Consider the following 18098-nt stretch of genomic DNA (forward strand, 5'->3'; position numbering starts at 1 on the left):
TTTTCCTGCTCACTTTTGCAGTGATGCTGCCTGTTTACTTTTGCCTCTTCAGCATTAGACTCCTCAACCATGAATGTCCCGTTTTCTGTTTCCCTTGATCAGAAAACACCACAGCATTCAAGAAGATTTCTCTGACTTTTTGCCCCTTCCTTTCCATGTCCAAGGGGTGGATAGAGCCAATCATGTGTTAAAGGTGTAGGCCAATCTTGTACTTTTTCCCCGGATTGTAAATCTGAGACAAGTGATACAGGATTGAAAAGTGGTGACATTGGTCTCCCAAAGAGACTCCCCATTAATTTTATATATATCTACAAGGACATCTGCCCAGCAACTGCCTGTCCAACCTCAGACTGGCATCACCCTTGTTATTGATCTTCGTAGACAAGGATAATTATTTTAAAACAATTGTGTAATCCTTCTCATTTTTTCCTTTAAAAATCTTTGTCTTCCTTTACCTTCCTAAATATGCACATGGTTTCTTATGGCATGCATATTCCCATTACAACGCTCTATTCCCAAATAAATATCTTTTCTATTAGAAAGCCCCTCTCTGTTATTTGGTTGACAGTACCAATCAATTCCTTTTTATTTGTTTGTTTGCTTATATTAGCCAAAGTCAGTCTCTATTGATTAAACCAGATAATCCTAACAGATACATCAAGCTCAGTAATACTAGTAGGACTATTTCTTTAGCACTGCTGTGGACAAGGCACCATCTAGATTATTTTAGTTAATCTTCATAAGCACCCTGTGAAGTAAGCAGCATTTTGTCTCCCTTTTATGAATGAGGCAATTATATCTTTGAGAAGGCAATAAACCTGTCCCAGACAACACAACTGATTAATGGCAGACAGGTTGAATCCAGGTTTGCCCAGTTCCCAGGTCTACGCGCTTAGCTATTATGCAGTGAGGCCTCCCCTGGCATCTGTCTGACAGCCAGTGAAGGTTCCTTTCTAGAGAGTGCCTCGTACTTCTTGGTATTGTAATTCAATACCGAGAGTTATATTCTTGGTATTGAATATAGCTCACAGTCTTCTGATCACAATTGCATTTCATCATGTATTATAATTATTTGTGTACATGTCTCAACTTCCCTAGCCCAGAATCTGGCATATATATAACAAATATTTTGGAATAGATAATTGTGTCTAAAGAAAACCAAATGAAATTCCAATTATAATTGAAGTAAGTTGCTTTGTCGGAGCAAGTAGAGGGAACTCACGGTGGCAAATATGGCAGCAGGTACCCTTTTCCCATGAATGCTTTTATTGTTTCTTTTTTAAAAAGCTTGTCATGGTTATTAGAAAATACAGATCTCATTTCCAGTGCTTTTCACACAAACATTTAATAGTGGATTGTGGTTTTGGTCAACAAGGCTACTTTAATTAAATTCAGTACTTAGCAAATACTTGCGGCAAAATTTTCCCCAAGCTACATCATTGGCCAGTGTAGCAAACTGCTTTTCACCAGCATCTCTCTGCTGGGAGGTTTTCCTCCTTTGTTTCGTCATTTAATTTTCTTTCTTTTCGTCTTGCTTCTCCTGGACTTTTATGATGACCCAGCTGAACTAGCTGCTTCTGTCTTCATAACTTTAATGTTGAACCCTGGAGGGATTGAAGGAGAAACAGTTCCCCAAGTGACTATTGGTAAACATACTAATAAATGAAGGGGAGTGGCCCTGTTGGAATGAGTGATGCCAGGCTAGCTGGCTAGTCCTAGGTGGAATTAAGCAAGGTGGCACAGGCCAGCACAGATGATGTCAGTAATAACATTGTAATGTTTCCACAAAGTGCATGAGTTGTCTAACTGAGGTGATTTTTTAAAACTTCCATGGAAAACATGCAAAATCTAACTTTTCCTTTTACATTTCCCCAGCTGCTACTATTTATTCTTCAGGCTTTGGTGTTTTAGGGATTTATGTCCCTCTTATTAAGGCCATGGGATACAACATTTGTGTTTCATAACCCCTTTGGTAATATAGAATGCTTTAAACTGCTCCATCAGATTAACTGTGTGATACAAAACCAATATAGAATGCTGCCGTTATGAGAAAGTGGAACTGATAGTGTAACTGGAGATGGAGATTGGCTGAGGCAGAGCCTGGAATCAGGTAACTTCAAGGAAAAAGGAAGCCAGTCAAAGAAGGTCAATAAGAATAATGAAACTTGAAGATATCGAAAAATTTCCTTTCTTTTTTAATAAATATATTCTGCACATTTTAAATGTTTCTTTTTGCTTCATTTAAATGCCATTTTCAAACATTAGTGAATAAACAGAAAGATTCTTAAGATTAGTGAATAAACAGAAAGATTCTAAACATCACACATGCTGAGTGATGGAAGTAGCATGGACTTCAGGCAGGGCTCAGAGACCTGGGTTTAAATGCTGACTCTGCCTGTTATCAGCTCTGTATTTTTAAGCAAATTGCTGAAGCTCATTGAGCCCCAGTTTCCATTCTTGTTCAATGGAGATAAAAACAAAGGCCTGTAGAACTGTTTTAAGGAGTAAATGAAATGCATATACATTAAAGTGCTTGCTAGAGTGAGTGGCACATAAGAGCTCCACATGAGATAGCAATATATATGCTCTTCTGCTACATACATTGGTAGAACCAGCACATTGGTTACAATTTGTCAAGCTGATCACCAGCCTCTTTTTCCATGATTAATGAAGTGGGCACGATAGATTTAGCATTTCTTCTGCAAAGAAAGGAAGAAAGTTAAAAGATTAGGTAGAAACGCTTCTGTAACAAAGAACATTTTTAAGAACATATTTTTCTAGTTTATAATGTTCATGGCACTATAGAAGTGTCCAAACATCTCTTATGTAGCAATTGATGCAATTGCACCTTTCGAGCAGAACTGCAGACTAAGTAGATCAAGTAAAGTGGAGCTGCCTAGTTTGTAGGGACTTTATGACCTCAATATAGTTGTAACAATTATAATTCTTGCTAATTCAAGCCTGTGTGAACACTTAGAAAAGCTAACCTGAGTCCTAGGAAGAAAAAAAATGTATGAAGCAGTGGTGTTGTGCTGAAAATAAAAACAGTGGGGTAAAATTAGCCATATATATATATGGGTATATATATAAATATACATGCTTTAATAACCCGTGATATAAATCAACAATCAGCCTTATGAGTTATAAAGCCATTGGATAATAATTGGAAAATGGATTACATAATCACAGCCAAAAAGCACGGGAAATCATAGACCTTTTGATTTTATCTTCGAAGATAGATTTAATTTGGATTTAAACATTTTAATTATATGCATTAATCTTATCTTCTCCAGTCCTCTAGTTTTTGAAAGTGATTCTTGGCCTTAGTAATAACATTCTTGAAGCTGAATCTATGCTAGTAGATATAACTTCCATGGTAATAAATAGAGTTGGAACAAAGAGGAGAAAGTGGACTGTCAAAACTTGTTCATTGAATTTGTAACTTTTTCCATTAAACAATAACTTGTAGTTTATCAGGTATTCCCAGGAAAAATGAACTGCTCTACCTAAATAAATTTTGTAGGCAAGAACCCTACCCCACCTCCAATTTTTTATGTTAACTATTTCTGTGAGAAAATCTTACATTTTTCATTCTCCTAAAACAGGGTAGGCAGAATATAACCAAATACCTCTGTTGATTTTGTCCTGGACAACTCAGGGTAACCTCATTACTACTCAGTGTGCTAGTTTCTACTCCCACTTCTACCTGTTTATAGCCTGCTGCTCCTGGTGAATGATAGTTATAACCTAGGCAGAATTCCAGGATTTCCAGGGGAAGCTAAATAAAGTTCTTAGGACAGTAAGATTAATTTTGTGTATATTGCTGCATTAATAGGTCCTATCTGTGACAATGAGGGAAAAAGGGACTGGAATGGGAGCGGGAAGCCTGGAGTTCTAGATACTACTCTTCCACCAAACAGCTGTGTGATAGGAGCAAGCAACATGATTTCCCCATCCATATCCCTCCTGTGCTCCAAGGTTCTGAAGATATCTTCATAGGACTGCAGTAATGCAAAGTACATAAATTTGTGACATCTTTTGCTCTCATTATTGGGAAGATTTTTTTCTTGCTTTTGGATTTGGGGCTAAGTAAAAGATGTGTTCGCTTAAAGTGAAATCGTAGTTAATTGGAATTCAGGAATCTTATATTCTTTCCCAAATTTTATAAAAGACTAATTAGGCATATACTATGCCAAGCAGTGTAACAGGAACAGTAAATAAAGTGATGAATAGGACAGCCCTTATCTTTGCCTTCATGGAGTAAACAGTCCTGTTGATAAGATGGGCCTCGAAATTAGCAATCCTATATCAGGAGAAAAGTTAAGAGGCTTCTGCAGGGCACGAAGTCAGGGGTGATGTTAGCGTGGCAGGGGAGTGTGTTGAGGCACTGAGGGGAGAGAATATTAAAGAGATATCTTGGAGGTAAAACTGATAAACTTGGCAATTGATTCCATGTGAGGAGTGAAGAAGAGGGAGGAAACATGGCTAACTCCCAACTTTCTGGCTTGAGCAACTGGGGGTGGGAAGGGAGATACCATTTCCCAAGAAAGAAAATATTGGAGGAATTGGAAGAGCAGCAGATATTGCGGGGTGAAAGGTTGAGAGAAAGAACTGAGTCCAGTTCAGACCGAGGAGCCTGTGACACAGTCAACACCAATGCCAAGGAGCCAGTGGATACAGGGGTTGAGGTTGCAGACATAAACACAGGATTCATCAGCATATGTGTGGTTTCTGAACCTATGGGACAGGATGGCATCACTCAGGGAAAGAGCACAGAGTCAGAAGAAAATATGACCCAAGACCAGGCCTTGAAGAACTCCGATATTTAATGTTTGGGTAGAAGAAAAGGCAAACGAAAGTATCTGAAAAGATGGGCCAGAGAAGAGAGAATCAACCAAGGGGAGATGGTCCCAGAAGTCAAACAGAAGGGAGTGATTCGCTGTGATGAATGCTGCAGAGGCCAAATAAGGTGGGAACTTTGGCTTTAGACATGTGGACATTAGAGTGATCTTAGACTGAGAAGTTTTAAGAGATGATAGGGTTGGAATTTCATTGGGAATAATTTGAAGAGTAACAGGGGAGAAAATAGAGACAACAAAAGCACATACTCTTTAAAGAAGTTTTGCTATACAGGAGATAGAATAATGGATGGGCAGGCATAGGAGATCAAGGAAGCATCTTTTTAAAAACTACAGACGTCAGCATGTTTAAACAAGAAGAGAGAGTGTGACAGAGAGGGAGAGGAAAGAAAGTTGGAGTAAGAGTGAGAAAGAGTAAGATTAATAGATAGCAAAATATAGCTGGGCGAGGTGGCTCATGCCTGTAATCTCAGCACTTTGGGAGGCCGGGCGGGGGGAAAATGTTTCACGAGGTCAGGAGTTCGAGACCACCCTGGCCAACATGGTGAAACCCCGTCTGTACTAAAAATACAAAAATTAGCCGAGTGTGGTGGCTCATGCCTGTAATCTCAGCTACTTGGCTGGCTGAGACAGGAGAAGAATCCCTTGAACCTAGGGAGGCAGAGGTTGTAGTGAGCCAAGATCGTGCCACTGCACTCTAGCCTGGGTGACAGAGAGAGACTCCGTCTCAAAAAAGAAGAAGAAGAAAAAAAGCATAAGATATCCAAGAAAATTAGAGAGAATAAGATTCAGAACCTAAGTGAGTGAACTGACCTTGGACAAGAAGCACATGTTATTTGTTGTGTCCAGAGAGAAGAAAAGATGGGTGTGGATGAAGATAGGTCTGGTATGGAAAGTTGAAGTGGTTCCCAATTACTGACTTCTGTGTGCTCTGTGAAGTAGGAGGCAAGGGGGAAGGAGGAGGAAATTATAAGTGAGGAAGGTGGTGAAGGTGTGAAAATAGTGGCAGATAGTGAAAAAGCAAGACATTAGAGAAAAGTGGTAGGACTGGAGGCACAGCAGGGGCTGGTCACTGGTCATTATGAATCCATGGCGTTACCAGCCTGCCTTCTGGACTTATGGGTTTGAAACTGCAACTGGACTTACTAGTAATTTCACCTTTTGATACTGCCTTTGCAAAAATTATAACAGTGGGAAAATTATGACAGTGAAAGCGATCTGACCTAACCAACTCCATCTTGCTTCTAACCTCCAATCTGTCCTTGTTTATTCCAGAGCATAGGCCAAACTAGCTTTGAGAGAAACTTAGTTTATAGGTTAACATTGAAACAAAGATGATAATAACTCCCTCATGAAATAAACCTCCTTCTTACCTAGAGAGCACACTGTCTTTGTAAGACTAACAAATTAGCCATAATACAAGAAATTCTGGTTTAGGGAGTCATGGAGCTAGAGGCCATAAGATTCTGAACCTCCCCAGTTGCTCCTAGGCATAACATCACTATTGTAACATCTAAAATTGGTGCTTGAGATGTTTTTTGGACCCTGAGTTCTGATATACCAGCTGGTGCCACCCAGACTGATAATCTGGCCTAACCAGTTTTGCAATCCCACCCAGGAAAAGAAGACAGCAAGAAGAAGCCACTTTGAGCCCCTATGATTTCATCTTTGATCCACTCATCCAGCACTCCATACTCCTTGATCCCTACCCACCAAATTCTCCTTAAAAGCCCTGGTCTCCAAATGTTCAAGGCGACCGATTTGAGTAATAAAACTCTAGTCTCCCATTTAGCTGGCTGTCTGTGAATTAAATTCTTTCTCTATAGCAGTTCTCCTGTCTTGATACATTAGCTGTATCTGGGCAGTGGGCAAGGCGAACCCGTTGGGCCATTTCACTATAACGTCTTTCTAGAAAAGATTTCTCTCACAGACATCAGTAGCTCAAGCTGGTGACACAGCATGGCCATTTGTGCAAATAAAGGCTCTTCTTTCTTTGCACATTGGATGTCTCTCTGACCTCCAGTGCTCGCCTGTACTCTCTTTCTCTTGCTATACCATATCCTTTGCCTTTAAGTAAATGCCTATATGAATATACTCTGTGGAATCTGGTGAATCCATGCAAATAACCAAACTGGGGAAGTCTTTGCAATGGTGTAACTATACAATATAATACTATACAGCTGCAGAAAAGTATGTGAAATGTATCTGTGGACTGATATGAAAAGATATCTAGAATATATTGTTAAATGAAAATGCAGGTGAGGAACTGCAATATAGTATACTGTTTTTCTTGTACAAAAGAGAGAAATACAAGGGCATATAATTGTATTCACTTGATTTGCATGAGGAAACACTGGAAGGTTACACACACAAAAAACTATTTAAAATGATTAACTATGGAAGTGATGGAAGCAAGATATCTTAACATATAAATTTTCATATTGAAGATACTTGCACACACATGTTTATAGCAGCACAATTCACAGTTGCAAAATCATGGAAGCAACCCAAATGCCAATCAATCAACGAGTGGATAAAGAAACTGTGGTGTATATATACAATGGAATACTACTCAGCCATAAAAAGGAATGAACTAACAGCATTTGGAATGACCTGGATGAGATTGGAGGCTATTATTCTAGTGAAGGAACTCAGGAATGGAAAACCAAACATCGTATGTTCCCACTGATACGTGGGAGCTAAGCTATGAGGATGCAAAGGCATAAGAACGATATAATGGACTCTGGGAACTTGGGGGGAAGAGTGGGAGGGAGTGAGGCATAAAAGAGTGGAAGGGAGCAAGGAATAAAACAAATATGGTGCAGTGTATACCACTTGGGTGATAGGTGCACCAGGATCTCACAAATCACCACCAAAGAACTATCCATGTAACCAAATACCACCTGTACCCCCAATAATTTATGGAAAAATAATAATTAAAAAGTAAAAAAAAAAATTCATATTGTTTTGATTTTTGAAACAAATTACCCACTCAAAAAATTAAAATTTCAGGGTAAACAAAAAAGAAAAGAAAAATCAAGTTATGTGGTCTAAGAGATATAATAAAATATTATAGGGTTTTATACTAAGTACCAAGAAATTAAGATGGAAAAATAATAGACATGCCAAAGTATAAACATAAACAACAAAAATAAATAGCAGCACAAGATACAAAGCTGAAGTTCTACCTGGGTAGCATGTAAAAAACTGGGATTGTTGCTTTAGTTCAGGATTTCTGAACAGCAGCACTAATGACATTTTTGGCAGGATACTTCTTTGTTGTGGCAGGATACTTCTTTGTTGTGGCAGGATACTTCTTTGTTGTGGCAGGCTGTCCAGTGCATTGTTGGAGGACAGCTTGCCTCTACCCACTTAATACCAGTAGTACTTGCTTCCTTGAGTTGTGACAACCAAAAATATGTCCAAACATTGTCAAATGAGGTGCTGGTCATGGCAAGGGCACAAAAATTATGCCCAGTTGAGAATCACCGCTTCCATTGCTCTGAATAAGCAGATTTTCTGAGCAGCTCTAGAAAATGTTTTCCTAGCAACTGGTCTATATTCCCGAACTACTTTTTCATTGAGATGTCAAATATTTCATATAATACTTTTCCAGTTCTTTATTATTAAAATCTTGACTCAGCCAGTATGTTATTTTGCAACGTCTTTGGAGTGACATTAATGATTTATCAGAAATATTTTCCCTTTAATAAGATACTTAAATTGCTGAATCATTTGGTGTGACTTTATTACTTTGAAACTTTTTGTGTGGAAGCCAATCTCTGTTTCTTTAATCATATTAGAAAAATGGAATTAAATGCTAGTGTCCATATATGTACTTAACTGAGGGGAGGAATACCTTTAATATGTTTGAAATAATCATGTTACTGACTTCCTTTCATTTTTACCTTTCCTTGAGTGTCTGGAAATCCTTCGAAATCCTTCAAGAAATTGCCCACGGGTTGTTAAGGCCAGTAATTAGTTAATTAGTGCCACAGCTGTCCCAATCCCAAGCTGAATATGACCTAAACTGAGATGCCCCTGCTAGCGCAGTAGCTCAAATTCTGACAGCACAACTTGTGGTAGGTATATGGAAATAGACAGAGCTTCTCCCTCAGCTCTATCTATGATCTTCTGAGAGTGATGCATGTGGTCATAATTATTTTTAAATATAATCCTTAAGTTTCTGAACAAAGCAAATCCAGAAAAATAAGTCATATGGTCTTAATGTGGACTGGTTCACAGATTATAGCACAACTATCTGCGTGAGCTTAATATATCTCCTTCCACTTTCCTGTCTTATTCCAGAGGGTGATGGTGGTGGTGTTCATTTGATTCACTTCAGTTCAAGGAACAAGAAAGCACTCATTTCCCAGGAGAATCACCGTGGTCTACCCCATCTCTGAACCCAGGCGAAAGGGTTTCCTCATTGCAAGTGAGATACAGCCAAAGCAGTAGTAAAGCGAACACCGTTTTATAGCTGCTATGGAAAAATTATTATATTTTCGCTGTAACACACACACACACACACACACACACACACACACACGCGCGCGAGTCTCAAGACGGGATAGTTTAAAATCTTCAGCCTGCAGTGGGATCTAACTACCTTCCCTTCCGTCCCCAGTGCCTCCTGATGCTTGCAATCTCATTCCCAATTCACCAGCGTGCGTGAATGCAGACTCCAGATCCAGCGCAGACGCCAAGAATTCGCTCAGGGGCACCAGCTAAATAGCAAACAGATGCCATGTCAAACATGTGAAAGCCTCAGCGACTAGGGTACCGCCGGGAAAACCAGTTCCAGCCCAGGAATTTCTGGGTGGAAACACTGGCCGCCGAATTGTTTTATTCTCTTTGCTTGATTCGAGTCGGTTCTGAAAGCAGGTGTCCCCTCTCCCCCGGCTTCAGGAAGGGAAACCCCGGCCCCAGGCAGTTGCAGAGCTAAGAAAAACCATCCCGCCAGGCCCCTTCTTGTGGTAACGCGGTCCTAACCCTGCTCTGCCCCACAACCCCATTTCACCCGGGAGACGCAGACGCCAGGCTCCCTAGCACTTTGTCGCCTCTTCCTCCAGCCTGGCTTCCTGAGCTCTGGAAAAGTTCCGGGCCTCCGGACGTTGTTTCCATCTTCGCCTTCGCTGCCTGGGCCGCATGCCTCCTGGGCTTATTTAGGAAGCGAAGTTAGCGCCACACATTTGGCTCCAGAAATTTGTTCTGACGGCGCGGCCGACGCCCTGCAGGGTCATTTCTGAACGCATTCCCAAATATCCTGGTCCTCAAGCCCTTACCACCCCCTAGCACACGAAGCCCCAGCTGGCGGTGGAGCAGGTGTGTTGCTGGTAGCTCATCGCTGGCTTGGAGATAGAGGTGCTTGGTACCTGTCCCCTTTCCGACAACACCTGAAACCGTATCGGGGCACACCCCTCATCCAAATATCCACGTTTAAGGTGTCCGGATTCGTTTGGCTTGACCACCCCCTCCCCGCGCCAACCCTGGAGGCATCTTCCGTGGGGTCTGTCTCTTCGAACCCAAAGGGGTACGCGTCTGGGTGAGCCAGGTCCGCCTCTTCCCTGGCGCTGGCCGGGGGCGGGGGTGGGTAGGCTGGGACCTGTGTCTGATTAGCTGGGAGGGGGAAGCCATGGTCCCAACCGCTGTCTGCTGAGCTCCAGTCCGTCCAGGCTCTTCCAGGAGGAAGAGGCACGATACAAGAGAGGAGGGGCAGGGGTCGCAGCACTGAACACCCTGGCCGGGGTTTTGACAGCTGCCACAGTCTCTGAGCTCCAGCCTCGCGCCTGAACCCGGTCCCTGCCATGGGGCCCCCTTCCAGCTCAGGCTTCTATGTGAGCCGCGCAGTGGCCCTGCTGCTGGCTGGGCTGGTAGCCGCCCTCCTGCTGGCGCTGGCCGTACTCGCCGCCTTGTACGGCCACTGCGAGCGCGTCCCACCGTCGGAGCTGCCTGGACTCAGGGACTTGGAAGCCGAGTCTTCCCCTCCCCTCAGGCAGAAGCCGACGCCAACCCCGAAACCCAGCAGTGCACGCGAGCTAGCGGTGACGACCACCCCGAGCAACTGGCGACCCCCGGGGCCCTGGGACCAGCTACGCCTGCCGCCCTGGCTCGTGCCGCTGCACTACGATCTGGAGCTGTGGCCGCAGCTGAGGCCCGACGAGCTTCCGGCCGGGTCTTTGCCCTTCACTGGCCGCGTGAACATCACGGTGCGCTGCACGGTGGCCACCTCTCGACTGCTGCTGCATAGCCTCTTCCAGGACTGCGAGCGCGCCGAGGTGCGGGGACCCCTTTCCCCGGGCACTGGGAACGCCACAGTGGGCCGCGTGCCCGTGGACGACGTGTGGTTCGCGCTGGACACGGAATACATGGTGCTGGAGCTCAGTGAGCCCCTGAAACCTGGTAGCAGCTACGAGCTGCAGCTTAGCTTCTCGGGCCTGGTGAAGGAAGACCTCAGGGAGGGACTCTTCCTCAACGTCTACACCGACCAGGGCGAGCGCAGGTAAGGGCTGTACAGCCCGGGGCCCCTCTCGGCCCCCGCCCCTGCGTCCCGGTGCAGGCTGCGGGTCCAGCTGACTACCGTGTCCAGGTGCGCGTCTGCTGCCCTTTCCAAAGAATCCCCTTGCGACGTTTTCTTTTTTCTTTTTATTTATTTATTTTATTATACTTTAAGTTCTAGGGTACATGTGCACAACGTGCAGGTTTGTTACATATGTATACGTGTGCCATATTGGTGTGCTGCACCCATTAAGAAATATACCCATTAGGTATATCTCCCAATGCAAACTATCGCAAGGACAAAAAACCAAACAGCGCATGTTCTCACCCATAGGTAGGAATTGAACAATGAGAACACTTGGACACAGGAAGGGGAACATCACACACCGCGACGTTTTCTTTCAAAGCCAGACAGAGTGCGAGCGCCTCCTTTCTCCCTTTTCCTATAACCTTGCTCCGAATAAAGAGACGGCGGAGACCGCGGTCCTTCCTCTGGCCAGTTTTCAACCCTGTATCTGCTCATCCCGTTTGTTTCTATTGCTGCCCCTTTTTAGGTCGCTGGTACCCCTGAAGCTTATCGTTCTCTTCAGAAAGCACCTTTCCTCTCTAGCCGGAAATTTCTTCACCCCATTCAACAAACCGCTTGCCCCTCAAAGGTTGGTCCTTGGGCCAGCAGCAGCTGTAACCTGGGCGCTTGTTAGAAATGCAGACATGTGTTCTTTTTACACTCATTTGAGATAATATCTCCTACACGGAATGTTTCCTGCCCCTGCACAAGAATTGTCTCTTTCCACGCTCTGAGACCACAATACTGTCCTCCGGCGAACTCCAGGGAAATAGCTTAAGTGGGAGATATCAAAATTTATTTTTTTTCCAACCGGCGATCTCTTTGTCCACTCACACACTGGTGGAGCATTTGCGCCGTACACAACTGCATGTACTTTGCCCTTTATTATTAGAGAAAATGTTCTCAGATGTTCTCTGAGGGAAAGAATCCCACTAAATTACACCCTGCACCATCTCCTGCACTACTTTCAAAATTTCAAAGGTTTCTAAATAAGTTTAAAGAGTTGCTCTAGTGGATGTATAATCTGTAACTTTTGTTTTTAAGGGCAGCGTGCTTGGTTTTTCTTTAAAAAATACATCAATGCTTGAAAAAATAGTTTTGAAATTTTCTTATTTAGATGATGTGTTACTCAACTTGTGAAGAAATCTTTTGAAATTACTGTGTAGGTCAGGGTGCAAAATATTTCAGAGGAAAAAATAGAAACACTTCACCTACATATCTGACTTTTTTTTTTTTCTTGCTGTAGGTCAGTAAATCCTCCTCTGTTCACCTACCTCTTCCTTGGTCCTGTTTCAGTGGGGCTGTGGCCCAGTCAAGCTTGCAAATGTGGGAAAGGGAAGTCCCGTTCAATTTTTCTATTGTGTTGCTAACTCTAGTGTTAACTAGAAACCATATTTTCAGAACATTAAAATTCAAGCAAGAAGAAATCTTAATAAAGTTCTACAGATGTTCATAAACCAAGGTAGAGCTCCAAAATTGTGATGTTTTGGAAGAGTTGTTACCCTTTGGGTCTCTGCTTCTGAAACCACAAGGAAAAGACACCTAAGGTTAAGCTTGAAGCCAGGGTCATGAAGAACCTGCAACAGAAGGATGGCTTGTGGTACGCCAGATTCTGGGAGCCCAGCAGGCCTGAGTTTGAACCTGAGCTGTGTGAATTGAGCTAGTCTCTTAACCTCTCTGAGTCTGTTTCCTCATTCACGGAATAGATATAATAACTGTCAACTATTAGAGTACTGTGAGAATTAAATGAAAAAGGGAGTACACAGTGACACATACAGCCTGGATAGTGGTAACTGCTATCCTTAGGTTGGATTATCATTATGATCAGCTTCCTTGTTATCTAAACGCAGAACCTGCCAAGTTCCTGGTATATATGAGTCTAAGAAGATTCCCAGAGGAGAAGAAGGCAGAAGCTGGGGAGTGGGGAGTTATTGCTTAATGGGTATAGATTTTAGTTTTGTAAGGTGATAAGAGTTCTGGAGATAGGTTGACAACAATGTGAATGTTCTTAACACTACTGAACTATTATACACTTAAAAATGGTTAAAGTGGTAAACTTTATGTTATGTGTATTTTACTAGAATTAAAAATTTTTAATGAGCAAAAATAAATTATAGATCAGGGAGTTTAGAATGGAGTTTAGAAATTTATACGTTTTGACGATTGTCTCAGATAATTCTGATGCCTACTATTGGCACCTCATATGGTTTTGTTGTGTCCCCACGCAAATCTCATCTTGAATTGTAGTTCCCATAACCCAGTGGGAGGTAATTGGAACATGGGGGTGGTTTCCCCCATGCTGTTCTCCTGATAGTGAGTGAATCTCATGAGATCTGATGGTTTTATGAGCCTCTGGCATTTCCCCTGCTTGCATTCACTCTGTCTTGCTGCCCTGTGAAGAAAGTACCTTTCTTCCCCTTTCTTCCCCTTCATCTCCTGCCATGACTATAAGTTTCCTGAGGCCTTCCCAGCCATGCAGAACTGTGAGTCAATTAAACTCCTTTTCTTTATAAATTACCCAGTCTTGGGTATTTCTTCATAGCAGCATGAGTACGGACTAATATGGTATCTCATACTTTTTTCTAACTTTTTATTTTGAAATAATTATAGATTCACCAGAAGTTGCAAAGATAATATAGAGAGGTCCTAGGTACCCTTCATCTAGTTTATCTTACATAATTATAGTACAATATCAAAATCAAGAATTTGACATTGGTACTATGCATATATATGTCTTTGTGTCATTTATCATATGCGTACATTTGCGCAAAAACTACCACAATAAAGATACAGAACTGTTCCACCTTAAAGATCATTCCCATACTTCTCCTTTTTATGCACTCATACCACTCCTAATCATCTCTAACCCCTGACAACCACTAATCCGTTCCATCTTTGTAATTTTGTCATTTTGAGAATGTTCTATAAATGGAATTATATCCTTTAGACCTTTCTGACTCAGCATAATGCCCTTGCGATCCATCCAAGTATGCATCAATAGTTTGAGTCTTTTTATTGCTAAGTACTATTCCATGGTATGGATGTATGAAAGTTTATTTAGTCATTCATCGATTGAGGGTTATTTTAGTTGTTTCCAGTTTTTGGTTTTACAAATAAATCTTCTATGAATAATTGTGTACAAGTTTTTCTCTTTAAGAGGCGGGGTCCCTCTATGTTGCCCAGGCTAGCCTCATACTTCTGGCCCCAAGGGATCCTCCTACCTTTGCCTCCCAAAGCACTTGTACAGGTTTTTGTGTGAACACAGTATTTATTTCACTGGGACAAATGTTCACAAGTGTCATTGCTGCGTCATATGGTAGTTGCATGTTTAGTCCTTAAGAAATTGCCAAATTGTTTTTCAAAGTGGCTATACCATTTTATACTCCTACCAGCAATATATGAGTGATAGATGTTCTCTGTATCATGGCCATCATTTGGTATTGTCACTATATTTTAGCTGTCCTGATAGGTGTATGGTAATATCTCATTGTGGTTTTAATTTGCATGTCTCCAATGACTAATGATGTTAAACATTTTTTTGTGTGCTTATTTGCCATCTGTATATCAGTCAGTGAAATGTCTCTTCACGTCTTTTCTTATTTTCTAATAGATTTTATTTTTTACTGTTGAATTCTGGAAGTTCTTTATATATTCTAGATCTAAGTCTTTTGTGAGATATATATGGTTTGCAAATATGTTCTCCCAGCCTATAGCTTGTCTTTTCATCATCTTAGTAAGGTCTTTCAGAGAATAAAAGTTTTAAATAAAAGTTTTACTTTAATTTTGATGAAGTCCAATTTGTCTATTTTTTAATGGATCATGCTGTTGGTGTCATGCCTGAGAACTCTTCACCAAGCCCTAGGTTCTGCAGATTTTCTATGTTGTCTTCCGAAAGTGTTTTACATTTAAATCTATAATCCACTTTGAGATGATTTTTTAAGATGTTATGTTTAGGTTGAGGTTAATTCTTTTGCCTATGGATATCCATTTTTTCCAGCATCATTTGTTGAAAAGAGTATCCTCCCACTATTGAATTGCTTTTGCACCTTTGTCAAAAATCAGTTGGCCCCACTATTACTGGATTCTCTATTCTGTTCCATCAACATAGGTGTTGATTCCTGTGCCAGTACTACATAGTCTTGCTTACTGCAGCTATACAATAAGTCTTGAAATTGTCTTTTTTTAGAATTGTTTTAACTATTTTAGTTCCTTTGCCTTTCTTTATATATTTTATGATATTCTTATATATAGCTACTAAAAATCTTATTAGGATTTTGATAGGACCTATGTTAAACCTTTATGTAAATTTAGGGAGAATTGCTAGCTTTGCTATCCTTAATATTCCATTCTATGAGCATTAAATGTCCATTTATTTAGATCTTTGATTTCATCAGAATTTTATCATTTTTAGCATACAAATCCTACACATTTTGTTAGATTCACACTTAAATATTTAAGTTTATTTCAGAAATAGTAAATGGTATTATATGTTTAATTTTGGTTTTCTACATGTCTGTTGCTACTATATAGAAATGCTGCTTTGTATGTTGATCTTGTATCCTGTTCTCTTGCTGAACTCATGAGATCTAGAGCTTTGTGTGTTTTATTTTGTAGAGCCCTTGGAATTGTCTACATAGATCATCATGTTGTCAACAAACGGAGACAGTTTTATTTCTTCAATTTCAATCTATCTGCCATTTATTTTCTTTTCCTGCCTGATTGTGTTGGGTAAAACTTCCAGCACTGTGTTAAACATGAGTGGTAAGAATGAACATTCTTGCTTTTTTCTCCTCATCTTAGTGGGAAAGTTTTTAGCCTTTACAACTGAGCATAATATTAAATGTAGGTTTCTGTATATGTTTTTTATCAAGTTGAGAAAGTTGTCTTCTATTCATATTTTTTTCTGAGAGTTTCTTTTGCATGAATGCATGTTGAATTTTTCTAACACTTTTTCTGCATAAATTGATATAATCATGTGATATTTTTTCTTCTTGAGCCTGTTAATATGGGTATTATATTGATTGATTTTTGAAAATATTGAGCCAGCCTTAGTTCCCCACCCTTTTTTTTTTTTTTTTTCAGAGATGGGATCTCACTCTGTCACTGAGGCTGGAATGCAGGGGCACAATCATAGCTCACTGCAGTCCCAAACTCTCAGGCCCAAGTGATCCTCTTGTCTCAGCCTCCTGACTAGCTAGAAGGACAGTTGCCCATCTGGTCCCCCACCCTTTTTGATAAGAGCCCTTGCTGTATAGTAGAGGAGAGTGGACAGTCCTTCTAATGCAGGGAGGAAGGTGGGGGAAGACAGAGAAAAGAACAAATGGAGAAAGCCAGAGTCTTTACTTTCTACCCTCCTCCTTCTGACGGTATAACCCTCAGACAAATTTTTCTATGAAAGTAATTTTTCAGTAAGTATTCCCAGGAAAAATCAGCTGGAGAATGGGCAAGTGTGACTGAGAAAGGAAGGAGGCTAAGCTGGGATATGCAATTAAACAAAGTCCCATGGAGGAAAGTTCTGTAGAGTGTGAGTGGTTATCCAAGATGTGACTTTGAAAGGAATTGCAGCCGGGCTCAGAGGACTGGCCATTCAAGCAATAGCCCAGATGAGGGCCCCCATCCCCAATGGAAACCACTGAGCCTTGACTGTTATGAAGGAATGGTTTACAAGTCATACCATCTGATGAATTCAAAAAGTCTTCTCCTTTCAAGAGGTCTCCTCTTTCTCTCCTCTTTCTCAATATAGCCTTTGTGTACAGGAGGAAGCGTCTTAGTTCTCATGTCTTAAGGAAATAAAAGAGCCCTGGTTTATCCTGTTTTGGGATTCACTGAGCTTCTTGTATCTGCTGGTTTAAGGTTTTCTTCACATTTGGAAAAACTTTCAACCATTATTAATTTTTTTTTCCTGTTTTGTACTTTTTTTCTCCTCTTCTCTGGGACTCCAATTACCTATTAGGCTGCCTGACATTACAGGCAGGTCCTGAGGTTCTTTTCATTGTTTTTTAGTATGTTTTCTCTGTGTGTTTCATTTTGGATAGTTCCCATTGTTTTGTTTTCAATTTCATTAATTATTTTCATCTGCAGTGTTTAGTTTGCTTTTAGTCTCATCCAGTGAAATTGTCATTTAAGATATTGTAATTTTTGGCCTGGTATGGTGGCTCACGCCTGTAATCCCAGCACTTTGGGAGGCCGAGGCAGGTGGATCACGAGGTCAGGAGATCAAGACCATCCTGGCTAACACAGTGAAACCCCGTCTCTACTAAAAATACGAAAAAAAATTATCCAGGTGTGGTGGCATGCACCTGTAGTCCCAGCTACTCATGAGGCTGAGGCAGAAGAATCGCTTGAACTCGGGAGGCAGAGGTTGCAGTGAGCTGAGATCGTGCCACTGCACTCCAGCCTGGGCAACAGAGCGAGACTCGATCTCAAAAAAAAAAAAAAAAAAGATATTATAATTTTTATCTTTAACATTTCTACATTCTTATATCTTTCATACCATTCTTCGTAATGTTCATTTTTAATATCCTTGAGCATATTAGACATATTTATAATAGCTGTTTTAATGTTCTTCTCTGCTAAGTTTAGCATCTCTGTCATTTTTTGTTTTGTTTCTATTAACTTCTTTTTCCTGGGTTATCATGCACATTTTGTTGCTTCTTTATATTTCTAATGATTTT

At 41.1% G+C, this 18098-nt stretch overlaps 1 protein-coding gene and 1 long non-coding RNA gene across 5 annotated transcripts in view, besides 1 other annotated feature; both read left to right on the top strand.

Moving 5' to 3' along the window:
* Positions 1-4619: 4619 nt before the first annotated feature.
* Positions 4620-6650, top strand: LINCADL (lincRNA adipogenesis and lipogenesis associated). The gene is made up of 2 exons (NR_157226.1): positions 4620-4969; positions 6478-6650. It is a non-coding gene; the product is annotated as a lincRNA adipogenesis and lipogenesis associated (long non-coding RNA).
* Positions 6651-10523: 3873 nt separating this feature from the next.
* The window catches only part of LVRN (laeverin), a 65132-nt gene continuing 57557 nt past the window's right edge, over positions 10524-18098 (top strand). Inside the window, exon 1 of one of the 4 annotated variants that reach the window (NM_173800.5) lies at positions 10524-11361. In NM_173800.5, coding sequence (NP_776161.3) covers positions 10667-11361 — 695 coding nt within the window. In that variant the 5' untranslated portion in view covers positions 10524-10666. Of the gene's footprint in view, positions 11362-11428; positions 11449-12728; positions 12751-13796; positions 16186-18098 lie in introns of those variants that run through there. The other 3 variants (XM_047416915.1, XM_047416913.1, XM_047416914.1) reach the window with 3 other exon arrangements.
* Positions 10746-11005: an enhancer, noted in NCBI's record as "active region_22940". NCBI's record gives its function as "activates an Ori minimal core promoter by ATAC-STARR-seq in GM12878 lymphoblastoid cells {active_cell/tissue: GM12878}" and the evidence as "EXISTENCE:reporter gene assay evidence [ECO:0000049][PMID:35858748]".

This window comes from Homo sapiens, chromosome 5 (assembly GCF_000001405.40).
Source record: "Homo sapiens chromosome 5, GRCh38.p14 Primary Assembly".
Lineage (NCBI taxonomy): Eukaryota > Metazoa > Chordata > Mammalia > Primates > Hominidae > Homo > Homo sapiens.